Source organism: Homo sapiens, chromosome 12, assembly GCF_000001405.40.
Source record: "Homo sapiens chromosome 12, GRCh38.p14 Primary Assembly".
Lineage (NCBI taxonomy): Eukaryota > Metazoa > Chordata > Mammalia > Primates > Hominidae > Homo > Homo sapiens.
This window is the reverse complement of record NC_000012.12, coordinates 54100734-54116895: the sequence shown is the minus strand read 5'-3', so window position 1 is coordinate 54116895 and position 16162 is coordinate 54100734. Positions and strand designations below refer to the sequence as shown.

Genomic DNA, 16162 nt, shown 5'->3' with positions numbered 1-16162 from the left:
AACAAGAGTGAAACTCCATCTCAAAAAAAAGCGGGGGGAGCGGCCTTGCTATGTTACCCAGACTGGTCTTGAACTCCTGGGTTCAAGCAAGCCTTCCACCTCAGCCTTCTGAGTAGCTAGGACTATGGGCCCATGCCACCAGGCCTGGCTGTATCTCATAACTATTAACTCATCTACTTTTTCACCACGATGTGAAGTAGGCATTACTGTTATTCACATTTTTTAAGATGTGGAAACTGAGGCATGGTAATCAAGTATCTTGCCCAAGGTTGTACAGCCAGCAGGTGGTAGAACAGGGATCTTGAGCCCAGCCCCAGTGTCTGTGTCTAACCACTTCGCCAGGTCGGCTTCGCATGGGGACAACACTTGAAACTCTAGTTTGTTAGTCTGGTGCCCCTGCTTCCGCCTGCCTCCCTCAGTCTTTATGGCCCATTGGAAAAAGCAAGCCAGAGCTGTGGCTCCCAGGGTGACGATCCTTCAGCTGCCTCCTTGGCACTGTCATTCCCTCCTCCCATCTCCTGCCAAGGGCTGCAGCCAAGAATACCACAGACGGTTTGCCATGGATCAAGATTTCTCTCAAGAAAGAGCTCAGAGAAAGGCTGCTGTGAGAAAGGAAGTCACTTGCTACTCCCCTTATTCCTCCATCGGGAGGAGCCAGATGAGGTCACTGCACATCTGAGTGGGTGCTATCAAAGCACAGCTCTGGCCAGCGTGGAGACAAACGTGGGCTGTGTGGCCCGTGACTGAGTGGCTGAAAGGAAACCTGAGGTGGTAGATGATGGAACTGATTGAAAGAAAACTTCTGTAGGAATGCTGCATGTCATTCATTCAACAGTGCTCCCTGACCAGGGCCCAGGGCTGTGCATATGAGCTGCAAATGGGTTTGTTCATTCGTTTACATATCTATTTGCTTATTTATTCAATAAATTCTGATTATGCCCCTAAGAGGCACTGTGCTAGATGTCAAGGATGAACAAGACAAAATCCCTTCCCCACAGGGGCTCCCGGTCTAGAGAGGGGAGGAGGAAGGAAGATCCACAGTGATTTGTATCACATGCTGAGGAAAGAGAGTCATTTACTATCGCCGTTTGACATCCTCACCCCCAGTGCGGTCCTTCTCTTTGTCTCTCCATGCTGGGAGTGGGCAGTCCCTGCCCTGCTGCCCTTCAGACACAGCCCTCTTCCCTCAAGCTGCCCTCTGCCTGGATCCCACCTTCCTTGTGAGCTGGAGTATTTGTGTTGAAGGAGTCTTGACTCTCCTTCCCTGTCAGTCACTGTTTGGCTGCAGGCAGTGACAGAGGTGGCAATAAAGCAGCAGAGAGAAGGCTTTGGTATCAGAGCAGGGACTCGTGGGTGGGATGGGACGGGGATGGTTTTCTGTTTGCCCCACTGTGTTCTCTGTGCTGCTCTGCCCAGGGAGGCTGACCTCTGCAGACTGTGTCACCTGGGCCCCCTGATCTCTCAGCCAATAGAGGTCCCAGCTGAGAAGGGGGAGAGAGGAGTCAGGGTATTTGTTTCCCCCATTCCCTGTCACTCCCCCTTTTTGCCTGCCTGAAGCTCTGGTGGTGGTTGTGGTTCCCCCATGGTCACAGCTTTGCTGAGTGGCCTCTCTCCTGTGTCCCGTGACCCCAGTTGGCATTGGGCTTTGGTAGAGATATTTCTATCCTAGTGCCACACTAGCCCTTATTAGTTTTCTTCATCTGGTCTATGCCTTTAGAAACTGTCACATCACTAAACCCTTCAGTGAAACCCTTTCGAATGTGTCATTTATTTTCTGTTGCCGCCCTGACTGGCTCACCTGGGTGCAGAGGAGGTGGGGACAGAGCAGGTTGGGGCTCCAGTTCAGCTTTATTATCCCTCTTTTTCAGGGTTTCCCAGAGGAAGAGAGAGAATTTGGACAAATGAATGAGGGACAACGTTCTCCTGAGGGTTTTCTTTAAGGGGCGAGGATCACTGCCGCTAGCTCCTTTGAAAGCAGAATTAAGAGGCAGTGCAGGAAGGCACAGCAGGAAGGCTCATGGTTAGACCACAGAGAAGGAAGCAGCCACTGCTGGGGACCTACCCGGTGCTGGTCACTGACAAGCTGTCTCATTAAACCTTCTCAGACCCTCAACCCCTCTTAGTATCTTATCCTCATTTTACAGATGAGAAGACTGCGGCCCAGAGAGGTAAAGATCGGGGGAGCAGGATGGGAGCTTCACTCTGTCTCAGTTGCTCTGGCAAAGAGAAGCCTCACCTTGTGATCAAGGGATTGGGAGGGTGACAGATAAATCTTGGCTTAAGTGTCAGCATAGCACTGGGAATCTGGAGCTAGACGGCACTGGCTTGACTCCTTGGATCTGCCTCTTACTAGCTGTGTGATACTGGGCATACCTCTGTTTCCCCATCTATAAAAATGGGGCTAATGATAATAACACCTGCCTTACAGGTTGTGTAGAAGGTTGAATTTTTAGTTATGAGGTGCCCAGGAACAGTGCTGGCACACAGTGAGCACCATACACAAGTGTTAAAGAATGGAGCCTCCTGCTCTCACCTTATTTTCCACCCCCTGCCCTGTTCTCATTGCCCACCTCCCCTGCCTTCTCCTCACCATCCTGAAAAAGGGTGAACAGCCACCCAGGAGCCCCTGAACAGGCATGTTGGTCCCAGGCCCTTTGTGAGCATGCTTTTCCCTGCCCTGCCCCCTGTCATCACCATTCTGGATGGAGCAGCAAGGACGGAGACACTTAGTTGGGCTATCCACTCCAGGTCCAATGCCAGTGGGATCAGCTTCGATGGGATGCGCACAGACTGACCTCTTCTCCCCAGCCCCTTCAACTTCCCAGAGCTGCAGGGGGCCTGGGAGTTCTTGGTAACAGCACATTAAACCTCTGTTTGTGGGAACTTTAATTTAAACACAAATTAGAGACGGCAAATGACTCTGGCAGCCAGATAAGCCATCCCGGGAGAACAAGGAGAAAGCCAAGAGAATCAGCCCAGATAAGGCCTGACTTTAAACTACTGGTGATACCCAGAAGCCTGGGACAGATGAAATCTAGGGGTCCTGAATGAAGAACCCTAGAAGCTCTACACCCCAGTTGCCCTTGCTCTGGGCTCTATGCCAGCTCCCTCTCCTGTGTTCTCTATATTTCTATCTTTTTGCAAAATTCTAACCTGATTCTTTGGCTCCATCCCTCCCGCCCCCACCCCACTGTTTTAGAGAATGCACTTTCTTTACTTTGCTTCTCATCTTCTTCTGTGACCTACTATTCTGAGAAAGTTCTACTTGTTATCTAACCTCCATCTATACTACTACCTTTAGAGTCTAATACATCCTGCTTAGTGGTAGCTCTGGGAGTTTCTGTTCAGGTGGCAAATGTGGTGTAGTAAAAACAACCTGAAAAAGACCTGGGTGAACTTCTCTGCATCTCAGTTTCCTAATCTGTATGATGAGTGTGTGAGAAAGAATCTCTAAGGACTTGTAAACTCTGACTTCTCACAGAGAATCTGAGGACAAGGACATCCCAGGAAATCTCTATTGTTCTGGAACCCATGAATTTTCCACTGTTCTACTGTTTGGGAGTGAGCGTGGGGAGAGCAGTCAAGCCTGTTGATTCCTTTCTGGGAGGGGTCTACAGGCTTTGCTTCCACCCCTCCACCCACAACCCAGGCTCAGGCCAGGCCCAGGCCCAGGAGAGAGCCTGCCTTTCCAGTTCTGTCAAGGCCTGCTGAGCCCAGCTCTGTGGGGCTGTGGCTGCTAAGATGTTGTCTCTGTCCTCTGGGGTAGGAGCAACATATGTTCCCTCTGTCACAGCACCTGTGAGGGTGGCAGAGGGATGGCAACCCCCAAGAGGGCAGAGTTCCATCTCTCCAACTGACCTTGAAGAATCTTTTTATTCTGCTTTTCTGGGAGGCTTAAAGTGAAGGCGGAGGGAGATATCACACAGTCCCAAAGCCCCCACTAAATGGGGAGCTACTGTCTTTCATCTTTCATGCAGGGTAAAAGAAGACACCTCGGCTACAGCAAGAGGAAAGAAGGTCAAACCACAGGCAGAACTTTCAGGTTGAATGTTAGAACAGACTGTGATCCCAAGAGGTCATCCAAGACCCTTGGTCTCAGAGGATGCCTATAAGGCCCTGGTCCCTGGCTGGGGTGGGAACAATAATCCCAACAGCCCCATGCCAGACTGACTTGGGAGTCGGAAGGTCCCTGGGACTAGAATAGAAGGACTTTGGCATTCTCCCTGGCCTAGGGCCCTTAGACAGAGGTGGGCAGCTGCCATCAGGAGCCTGGGGCCCAGCTGTGTCCCCACCATGCCCGCCTCCCCCCTCCTGAGTGCCTGGCTGCCCCTGGAGCCCCAGGCTTGCCCGCCATCTGGGCAGCTCAGAGGAGAGCCCACTGCCAAGGGAGTGCCAGCGTTGATTTATAGCCCACAACCTTGGCAGGCTCAGGCTGTGTGCCCGAACCGCCTTTGCTCAGGGAAGAGATGCTCCTCTTAAAGGGACAGTGCAGAGGAATGCAGGAATGTCCAGGATGAAAGCTTGGCAGGGGGCTGGCAAGGAAGACCTCCACCCATCAGCACTCTGGGTGACTGTCACTCCCTAGGGAATCTTCTCCCTAGGGAACCCACCCATCATACCTGTTATCATACCCTATCCTTTGTAGACTTGGCCCAACTGTAACATATTAATATGTTTACTGTCAGTCTCTCCCACTGGACTGTAATCTCTAGGAGGGTAGGAACCAGACCCATTGTGCTCATTCCTGAATATTCAGCACCCAGCACAGTGCCTGGTGCCTAATAAGATCTCAGTAAGAATTTGTCAAGTGTAGGAAAGAATGAATAAAAATGAAGGTCCTTGTCCATGAGGTGGAGGGAAGCCCATGTGTCTTCTTAGTGCCTGCTATGGTTTCCAAGACCCTGCAGCATCTGCTGCTAACCCCAGGATATCTCCCTCCAGGACCCTTCCTCACCCCTGTCATATCAACCCAGGACCAATGGGGCCAATCTTATCTGAATACCCTTGCCTCCCCACTTTCCTCGAGTCACCTTTCTTAAGTCCTTCACACAATGTTCTTTTCCTCCCATTTTCCTTCCTCCAAGATACTTTCTCAGATTACCTACGGCCTCAGTCCTGGATTCAGATATTCTTTCAGATAATCTTTTATTTCTTATTTTTTATTTTTTTTATTTTTCTTGAGACAGAGGCTCCCTCTGTCACCCAGGTGGGAGTGCAGTGGCAGTCTTGGATCACTGCAACTTGTGTCTCCCAGGTTCAAATGATTCTCCCGCCTCAGCATCCAGAGTAGCTGGGATTACAGGCTTGTGCCACCATGCCCAGCTAATTTTTGTATTTTTAGTAGAGACGAGGTTTCATCACGTTGGCCAGGCTGGTCTCGAACTCGTGACCTCAAATGATCTGCCCGCCTCAGCCTCCCAAAGTATGGGGATTACAGGCATGAGCCACTGTGACTGGCCTATCCAGCAATATTTACTGAGTATCTACTATGCACTAGGCACCGGTTGCCAAGAATTCATGAATAAATGGAACAGGCATAATCCCTGAACTCAAGGACCATACATTTCGGAGAGTGAAACAGACAAAAAAATAAGTAAGCAAGTTAGCAAATACATACATGCAATTTTGAGACCTGTTGTGAAGTGGGTAATCACAGACAGGGTGGAGCAGGGACCCTTTAAATTGGGTGGTCAGCTAGGCATGGTGGCTCACGCCTGTAATCCCAGCACTTTGGAAGCCTGGGGCAGGCGGATCACCTGAAGTCAGGAGTTCGAGACCAGCCTCACCAACATGGAGAAACCCTGTCTCTACTAAAAATACAAAAATTAGCCAGACGTGGTGGCGCATGCCTATAATCCCAGCTACTTGGGAGGCTGAGGCAGGAGAATCCCTTGAACCCAGGAGGCGGAGATTGCCATGAGCCAAGATCATGCCATTGCACTCCAGCCTGGGCAATAGGAGCAAAACTCCGTCTCAAAAAAATAAAATAAAATAATAAAATAAAATAAAATAAATTGGGTGGCCAGAGAAAGTTTCTCTGAGGAAGTGACACTTGGGCTGAGGTTTGAAGAATGAGAGGGAGCCATGTAAAGAGTGAGGTAACAGCATTCTAGAAACAGTTCAGTCACCTGGGTGTGCACAGCAGCATTTGGGGGATAGGAGTGGGAGAGGAGCTTTCCCAAACTGCACACTCCTATCTCTTTTACATTTTGAAAGACCCTACCCTTCCAATGTGGGAGGACCATTGCTTAAAATCTCTGGAGAAGCAGCCCTGGCCTTACCTGGAAGCTGGTTAGAAAACAGAGCTCGGGTGCCACCCCAGATCTACTGAGTCAGAATCTGTATTTTAACCAGGTCCCAGGTCATCTGTATGCGCAGTGGTGTTTGAGAAGCAGTGTTTCAGGAAATACCTCACAGGAGGAATGGAGTGTGAGGACATCAGAGGATATGAGATGGGTGGGGTTGGGGGGTTGGTTGCTGAAGAGTGGATTTGAATCAGAGATGGGGGTCTGAGTGTGTATATGTGCCTCTGTGTGTGCGTTCCTCCAGCCCTAATGACTGTGGGCTATCTGAGGATGTGCATCTCCAAGCGCTTTTCCTTCTATGGGTGTGGAGTACCAGGGGATACTGTACATCTTTATCCCACTGTGACAATGCCCCCACTTCCACCTACAGCTGTGAGTCAAACAGAATCTGCCAACCTCTGCGTGGTGGGAGCATCTCGGAAGCAAGGCAAGGCAAGCCAAGGAGATCCCTTGTTCCTGACCTCCGGCAATCCATTTATTTGACCTGAGTCTCATAAAGGCGTCCTGATGAGCCCAATCGCTTGCTAATGGTTATGAGCTGAGACCTGGGGATTTATGGCTGAGGCCTCCGTGGCCACGAACAGGAGTAGGGCTGCGCACAGGAGGCCAGGCTGTGCATGGCTTCAGTTCATGGAGGCCTGTACCCAGAACCACGGCGGGGACTACCACACCGCCACCTCCAAATCTGGGGCAAAGAACATTGCCCTGGGTGGGGGAAGCTGGGCTAAGGAGAAAAAAGACCTCTGGCTGGAGATGTCCAGGGATGAAGGGTGAGTGTCTGGGAAACTGGCCTGACTTGGCTGGGTGGGGTGTAGGGGGAGATACTGGAGAAGTGAGTGGAAAGGGCACTGGAATTGGAGCCAGTCAAACTGGGGTTCAAATCCTGGATCTGTTTTCCACCCGTGTATGACACTGGACAAATCATGGCTCTCCCTGAGCCTCATTTTTCTCATCTGTAGATGGGAATTGTGACGCTATCTCATAGGTTTGTGAGAATTAAATGAGGCCAGGTACGGTGGCTCATGCCTGTAATCTCAGCACTCTGGGAGGCCAAGGTAGGAGGATTTCTTGAGCCCAGGAGTTCAAGACCAGCCTGGGCAACATGCCGAAACCCTGTCTCTACAAAAATACAAAAATTAGCCAGGTGTGGTGGCATGTGCCTGAGGCTGATGTGGGAGCATTGCTTGAGCCCAGGAGCTTGAGACTGCAGTGGGCCATGATCATGTCACTGCACTCCAGCCTGGGTGACAGAGTGAGATCCTATCGAGAGAGAGAGAATTAAATGAGATAATGTTTGTGAAAAGCATTTCGAATACCAATTGTATATATTTAAGTGGGTCAAGAGATTGGGATTCTAATTCCAGCTCCACCACTAACTTGCTGGGATTCTAGCACTGGTTTTGTTAGCAATGGCTTTTTTTTTTTTTTTTTTTTTTTCCTGAGACAGGGTCGCACTCTGTCGCCCAGACTGGAGTGCAGTGGTGTGATCTCAGCTCGCTGCAACCTCTGCCTCCCAGGCTCAAGCAATTCCCCTGCCTCAGCCTCCTGAGTAGCTGGGATTACAGGCATGCTCCACTACTGCCCGCTAATTTTTATATTTTTAGTAGAGACAGGGTTTCGCCATGTTGGCCAGGCTGGTCTCGAACTCCTGACCTCAAATGATCCACCCATCTTGGCCTCCCAAAGTGCTAGGATTTCAAGCGTGAGCCACCCCGCCCGCCCAGTTACCAATGGCTTTGTGACCTGGGGCACATCACAGACCCTTTCTAAGTCTTAGTTGCCCCACAGATACTAAGAGGGGACACAGTGCTCTTTTGGTTGCCTCCAGCTCTGATGTTTTGTGGTTCTAACGAGGAGTCCTTGTTTGGAAATGGAACTTTGGAATGGTTTGGATCTCATTCTGGCCATAGAGAGGGCATCATTGCAACTGTGGCTTCAGGGCCAATGTGCGGTTAGGGGGGCTGAGTCAGAACAGCCCCCTCTTCCTCGATAGTGCCATCCTGTGAGTACAACCCCTGTATGGGTGTTGGACACAGTGTTGGGGAAGACTGGGCAACAGGGGTAAGTAGGAAAGGCCCTGTAGTAGGAGGTTAGCTGGGTATCCATGGAAATGCCTGAACTACTCATGCCTTTTGCACAAGTAGGTCTTCAAATAATCTCTTCTGCTTCCCTCTTTCCCACTCTTTCCCTGTCTAAGGTGTGTGGTGGTGTGTGTGTGTGTGTGTGTGTGTGTGTGTGTGTGTCTAACCTGATTGGGAGAGTAAGCCAAATGGAGTGAAGTGGAGAAACATCCCCAAAAGTCCCAGGTAGAGACCTAAGGATTCCTAAATCACAGTGCAGAACATGGTCCTCCACCCTTTTCCCATTCTGGGAACATCCTGAAGCCAGTCATTGTGGGAGACAGACATGACCCCCAACCCAGCCTCACAGACCCCACCCCTCTTCCATGCTTTGCCCTACCCTCCTTCCGTGTGCTTGTATCCTAACCTTAAGCCCTAGAGACTTCTAGGTACCCAGAGAACAGCCTATTCAGTGATGTTTACTGAGCGCATGTTATGTGCCTTGCACTGGGCCTGGAGCAAGGGCTAAGGAGTGAAATTAGACCTGATCCCTGTTCTGAAGATGTCACAGCTGAGTAGGCAGAAAGACTTTAAACAGATAATGGCAACACGATGTGCTAAGGAACATCAATGTACAAGATAACAGGTAGTCTGTATTTATGGGAGAGGGAGGCGTAAAAGAAGATGCCTCAGCTGCTTTCTAAACATGTTTGTTGTGGAACATTGAAAACATACGAAAACAGAGCAGTATAGTGTCCTCATCATGCAGCTGCAACAATGGTCACACCAGGATCTTGGTGTGTCTATACTCCCACCCACGTTCCATACCCCACTGCACTTACTTGGGGTGGAACTGGGTTGGTTTTGAAAGAGGAACAGCAGTTCCGCAAGTAGAAAGTGCTGGAGGGAAAAGCTTGCAGGCAGAGGGGATGCCGTGCTCAGAAGCTTGAGCAGTGCCTGATGCTGGTGCACCAAACCGAAGCTGAAGCAGTGGGACAAGATGCTTTGGCCCCCGTTCATGCTGGCCCTAATCCATCTGTCACACAGCGTGCCCTGTGGCTCCTTTTGGAACTCGGGTCTCCAGGCAAGTCGGGTCTCCAGGCACAGCCAGGTTAGCGCAGAGCCAGCCCTTTGAGTGCAGGGAGTGAGGAGGCACCGCTAAGACGGCGGGCCTTGGCTGGGCGTCGGCGGGGCCTTGGTGGGCCTAGAGCGCTAGGGACTGGCACGCACCAGCACTGACGGACAAAGCGGGCGCAGTTAGGCCCTCCACCCCGCGTCGGCACGCGGTCTTAAATATTACCCCGGAGTTTTCAATTATCTCTCCTTAATGGATTTGCAGGGGCTCTTTCATCAAGCGCGGGGTGGCTGGGTGTGGGGGTGCGGAGAGAGCGCGGCGAGGGCTGGAGCTGGGAAAATGGCCCATATTTCAATATTAAAGCCCTTTACGATCGTCAGCAGCATGAAAGATGCTGCAAATAAAACGGAGCCGTCCGCGCCAGCCTCTCCATCTCGCAAGTTTTAATTAACGCTGAGTGGGAGGCGGCTGACGGGCGGGTCGGAGCCGGGCCAGGGGCGGATCTGGGAGCCTGCGGATCCCAGATTCCGAACTGGAGCGGCAGGGATCTCGCGGGCCAGGCCAGGCGGAGGCGGAGGGTGGTGGGCTCCGAGTCCCGGGCGAGGGCGCGGAAGATGCTCGTGGAGATGGGCAAGGCTGAGGGGTGGGGGACAGGGTGGAAGGTCTCTGAGCATCTGACCGGGAAACAAAACTCTGCAACTGAATGCAGAAAGCTTTGTTCTTAAAGGTGAGGGGGCTTGTGGCCAAATCATCGAGCTCTTCATCCCCAGGCTCCTTCAGCGCGCGTCCTTCTGCCTCTCTTCTTTCGACCAACAATTCCCCCAAACGCTCCCCCGCGTTGATTCCCGGTCCCCTCCCACCTCGTCCTGTGGCCCCTTGTTTCGGGAGGCAGGCGTGCTTCTGTGACCCCACGGCTCCTGTTCTGGGACGTCTGCTTTCTCCATCACTCCCTGGCTTCCCGGGCGGGCCCCATCCTCCGGAGCGGAGCGGAGCAGCGCGCACAGAAGCGCCACTGTTCTGCCTTGGCAGGGCCTGGCCCGACAGCTTGTGCCTGCGCAGCAGACGCATCCGTCAGGCGGGAAGGATGGAGCGACGTCCGGCTGCCCGCTCCGAGGACTCCCCAGGGAGACACCTCTGGCCTTGGCCCAGACTCCTCTCTTCCCTTCTCCCCACCCGCCAACCCTTCCCCCAACTACCAGCTCAGTATATACTTCTGTCTCTCCTCCTTTCCTTGCTTCTCCTCCTCCCTCCCATACGCATGCAGCCTGGGGCCTGGGGCCCAGGAGAGCCACTCCTCTCATGGGTCACACTGAGAAGTCCTTCCTCCACTTGCATCCACATGGTAGGGCATAACTCTAAAGCTTAAAAAGATCCAGCGATCTCAGGGGACCACAATCCAAAGCTAAGTCAGCCAACCAACACTCAAGGGCTAAAATCAAGGACTTTGGGCAAGCCCTATAGAGTGGAGGAATTAGAAAAATAATACAAATAAAAGACATGGTCATTATTCCTGGGTATTTACAGATACTTTGTGCTTCCTGAAGTGTTTTGCAGAAATCACATTCTCCTCTCATTGTGCTACACAGCTTGTAAGCACCAAGACAAGAAATTCTATGATAAAGCAAAAAGAAAAGAAAAGAAAAAATCCTCTTCTACTTTCTTCTTCGTGTGTATTTTTTCTTGTCAATTTCTGATAATCTGTCAAGCCTACTTAAAATAGTGCCTGCTTATGCAGTATGGTTAGGATGATGAACACACACTTAAACAGGATAGGGAATAAGTACAAACTACAAGTGCTGTGGGGATGCAGAGTAGTAGGACAAGTGGTGAAAATTAAAACATTTTTGGCTTAATCAAGGAGTACTTCCTGGAGGAGGGGAGACCTGATTTGGAAGGAGAGGTGATATAAACTTGAAAAGAAAGTTCCAGATGTGGAAACACTGGTTTTATTCTTTATTTTTATTTTGAGACAGGATCTTACTCTGTCACCCAGGTTGGAGTGCAGCGGCACGATCTTGGCTCACTGCAACCTCCACTTCCTGGGTTCAAATGATCCTCTGCCTCAGCCTCCTGAGTAGCTGGGACTACAGGCATGTGCCACCACACCCAGCTAATTTTTTTGCTTTTTTTGTAGAGATGGGGTTTTGCCATATTGCTCCAGCTGGTCTTGAACTCCTGGACTCAGGCGATTCCCCTGCAGCCTTGGCCTCCTAAAATGCTGGGATTATAGGTGTGAGCCACCACACCTGGCTAACACCGGTTCTAAAATTAGGCAGAATCTATATGTTACTTCAGGTTGAGGAGCAGATAATCTTGGCTATATTTTCCCTGACAATACAGTAAGATGAAAGAAGCCTTGTGCAATAGCAGGAAGAATTCAGGGTAGACAGTGGGATCTTGGCTAATGCTGGAGACTAAAGTGAATGGAGAGAGACCCTGAAGCACCCTTCTCCCATACTTGGCTATGGGCTATGGGAGGGATGCCTGGACTCTGAGACTTGGCCACCATGTTGTGTTTTGCCATTAGAAGATTTGGACATGAAGTTGAATAAGGCAGGAATGACCTCACAGCATCAACCACAACCCCCAATGTGGTTGGAGAAGGAGGGAGAGAGGACAAAGAATATCTTCCTCTTACTCAGATTGTAAGTGGAGAAACTGAAGTCCATTCACTCAAATCGATAAGTGTCTACTGAGCACCTCCTATGTGGCAAGCACTATATAGGCCCTAAGGATCCAGAGATGATCAGGGCATGGTCCCTGTCAACATGGTGCTCACAGTCTAGTGGGAAATAGAGTTCACTCGTCATTCTATCATTCAATCAAAAACAAAAAGTACTGAGCACTTACTCTGAGCCAGGCAGAGTTGCAGGTGCTGGAGATGCAACTGTGAACAAGACAGACCCAATCCCTGCCCCATCAGGGAGTACCACCTGGTGCAGAAGACACATACATAAACAGGCAGCTATAATTCAGGGTGATGTATGCTATGAAGGGGAAAGGACAGTTGCCATGGGGTGGCATATCCATAGATATGCTGTAGATCCATAGGTTCCCATGAGGGGATATATCCGAGTCTGTGAAAGGGGATGCGAGGATGATGTGGAAGAAGCAACACCAAATCTGATCTGCTCACAAGGTGCGCAGAAGTCAGGTGTGGGATGGCATGGGGAGGGCGTCCTGGGCCTAGAGTTTGTGTTCCTTTTCAGCATCTTACTAGGAGCTTGTGGCCAAATCAGGCCCAGGCAGAGCTTCTTCCCTCTAGTCACAGGATAGCACTGGCCTGCACCAACACAGCTCTTCCAACACCAGCAGGGGAAACCAGATGATAATCCTAACAGAGCCAGACCAAGGAATGAGGTTATCAGTTTTCCTTTTTCTGCTGGGAAGTTTCTGCCTTGGGGCTAGTCTATGTGGGGGGAGGCTGGGAGGTGGGAGGGTACTGTGGAGGATCTTACTCTTTCCACCCTCCTCTCACTGATCCTAGTTTTGAACAAGAAACAGGTGATCTGTTTCTCTAGTTGCAGCTGAATAGAAACCAGGACAAGAAAGTGTTGTCCTCCCCAGACACGTTTCTGTCTCCTGGGTCCTAACCAGCTGCCTACTTGAGCCATCTGACTTCTATCCACAGGGCCTCCCAGGAGCTGAATCCAGAAGGGCAAGAACAAAGTAGCAAAGCAGGAAAGGGCATTCAGAAGAGAACAGCATGGGCAAAGGCCCCAAGGCCAGAGCACTTGGAAACTGCAAGTCCCTCAGTGTAGAGATGAGTCTGTAGAGGAGGTTGACACAAGCTTGTGAAAGACCCAGTATGCCAGGCCAGGCTAAGGGGGTGGGAAGAGTGAGGGACACTGAGGGTTTTATGGCTTAAATTTTGACAAGTGTATCTACAATACAGACAACTAATGTAACACTCCTTTTTTTTTTTTTTTTTTTTTTTTTTGAGACGGAGTCTCACTCTGTCACCCAGGCTAGAGTGCAGTGGTGAGATCTTGGCTCACTGCAACCTGCACTTCCTGGGTTCAAGTGATTCTCCTGCCTTAGCCTCCTGAGTAGCTGGGACTACAGACTGATCCCACCACATCTGGCTAATGTTTTGTATTTTTGGTAGAGACAGGGTTTCGCCATGTTGGCCAGGCTGGTCTCGAACTCCTGAGCTCAGGTGATCCACCTGCCTCAGCCTCCCAAAGTGCTGGGATTACAGGCAACACTTTTTTTTTTTTTTGAGACAGAGTCTTGCTTTATCATCCAGGTTGGAGTGAAGTGGCTCAGTCATAGCTCACTGCAGCCTTGACCTCCCGTACTCAAGCAATCCTTCTGCCTCAGCCTCCTGAGTTGCTGTTAATTTTTTTTTTTGTAGAGACAGGGTCTCACTATGCTGCCCAGGCTAGTCTCAAACTTCAAGAGACCAAGGCGGGAGGATGGCTGGGCTCAAGAGATCCTCCTGCCTTGGCTTCTGAAAGTGCTGGGATTATAGGCATGAGTCACTGCCTGTCCATATAAAGTAACACTCTTGAACCCACTATCCAGACTTGAGGTTTTGTTAAGTTACTGTTAAAATTTTGTCAATTTTGCTCTTGAGTTTCAAAATAAACAGGTCATTACAGATAAAGTTGAAGTTCCCTTTGTCCCTTCCCCAGTACCATTCCCCTCCCTTTCAGAGGCACCACCATCATATATTTTTTCTATTTTTACCATAGATATATATCCATGAATAACATTATAAGGCTTCAGTGCATTTTAAAAAGAGGTCCACTGGTTATGATATAATTTATAACTTTATTTTTCCATTGCACATTTTAAAAAAAGTCTTTATTTGAGGTTTTTGGCAAAGTGCTGACAAGGGTAAAACTAGCGTTATAAGATCATGCTGGTTACCAAGTGGAGTATTCCAGGTGACAGAGGAGGACCAAGGATGGTGACAGTGGGAAGGAGGAGACATAGGTAAAAGGAGACTCCACACCACAGGTCACTGGTGATCGCCCTGTGAGGGCAGGGTTGTTTTATACAAGCTGTTCTTCAGTACCATGAACAGGGCCTGGCTGTTGAGGACGCCCAATAAATATCCGTTGACAGCGAAAGGTTGACAGGGGCAGACGGATCCAGGATGACTCCCAAATTCCTGGCCCAGTGCAAAAGCCTGGATGATGATCCCAGTCTCCAGTATGAGGGCCCCAGGAGGAGAAGCTGGATTGCAGGGAAAGATGAATCCAGAAGCCATCTCTCTGATCTAGAGAAAACAAGGCTGTGCCGTGTGGAAGGGATTAATGTTAGGAAGCAGACCGGACCTCCATTCTTAGGACAGAAAAAAATCTTGTAGCAGGTAGTTCAAGGCTATAAAAGATCTGAAGGGACCCAGAGATGGTAAGAGTGGAAAGGTTCAGTCCTGCTGGGGGCAAAGGGATAGTTGAAAAACAAGCCAAAAACGATAATCACTTTCCTCAGAAGGCCAGGAGGGCAGGGCCCAGCTTCTGCATCAGCCACAAGGACTGTCTTATAGCCCTCTGTGCGGTGGGTACCCACAACCCATTAGCCAAGGCAGAGGAGGAGGAAGAAGGTATAGTAAGTGCATCTAGGATCATAAAGACCTTGTCAGATGCCCACACTCAACTTTTCTCCCACTCCATATTCATCAACAAGATGGACAGGTGGGGTGCTCACAACTGCTTCTTAGGACTTATTCTTGACCAAATTCAATTTCTCTATTCAGGGAAGGATGTGAAATATAACCTGCTTTCCAACTCTTAAGACCCAGAGCTCTGGCTCTTCACCTCAAAAGGCTGCCCTCTGCAAGAGCTCCCTCAAAGGCACTGCCACCCCCACCTCCTCACCCCACCACCCCTGCCCCAGGCACAGCCACCACCCACCCTCTGCTGCTAATTCACCTATAAACCATCTCCTGCCTTGCGTCTCCACTCAGTTTTGTTCTTTCTCTAACACGTTCCACTCCCCTGAAAGCCCGCCCAATCCTTCCTGTTACCCTAGCACTGACTTCCTAAATGAAGTCCGGTGGCTCACAGTTCTGTCCTTCTCTGTTTTTGTCACTCTTTCCAGCCCCTCACTTGAGCCTTTGGTAGCTTGGTCTCACAATTCTTTGGGTCCTGACTATGGTTAAGTGGCATTTCTCTACTTCATCCCTGGGTTCAGGGACAGAAATGCTTTTACCATCCCCAGTGCCCCTCTCTGGGGGGAGCAGAGAGGTCACTTTAGTTTTGTTTGGTCTGGTGGAGTAAGGCACGCCCTTCTCTCAGAGAGGGAGCTGTCATGGATCTAAGCCAGTCCCTGTCCTAGGAGTACTTGCAAGTTAGACTTGCTCTTTAGTCAAGGAATGTTAAATATTGTAAAGCAATGCCGTAGCTGGAGGGGGAGAATCTGGGAATCCTCTTTCCATGAGCCTGCTATTTGAAGGTGTGGTGGGATCCCTTGGAAGTGTGGGCCCCTTGTACTCTGGATCTCATCCCTAGAGTCACCAAAGGGCCAACGTAATGATTCTCAAATAAATCTGTGATCAGTCCCCTCATACCTTGAACTTGGGCAGGCTGCTAATTTTTATCAGAGCAATACACCCTGTAGATACCACCTCCCTGAACTCTAAACGGAGCAGAGCTCTAAACCACCAAAGAATCAAGCTATATAGACTTCCACCTTAAATGGGTGTAGATTCAACACGATTCCCAAAATCACGTGACTTGCCTCGCTAACCAGGGTTCTTCCTCAGTGGGGAA

General features: G+C 50.2%; 2 long non-coding RNA genes across 2 annotated transcripts in view; both read right to left on the bottom strand.

Moving 5' to 3' along the window:
* Window positions 1-16162, bottom strand: part of FLJ12825 (uncharacterized LOC440101) — a 63981-nt gene that overhangs the window by 5339 nt on the left and 42480 nt on the right.
* LOC100240734 (uncharacterized) lies at window positions 14197-14687 on the bottom strand. The gene has a single exon (NR_026657.1). It is a non-coding gene; the product is annotated as an uncharacterized LOC100240734 (long non-coding RNA).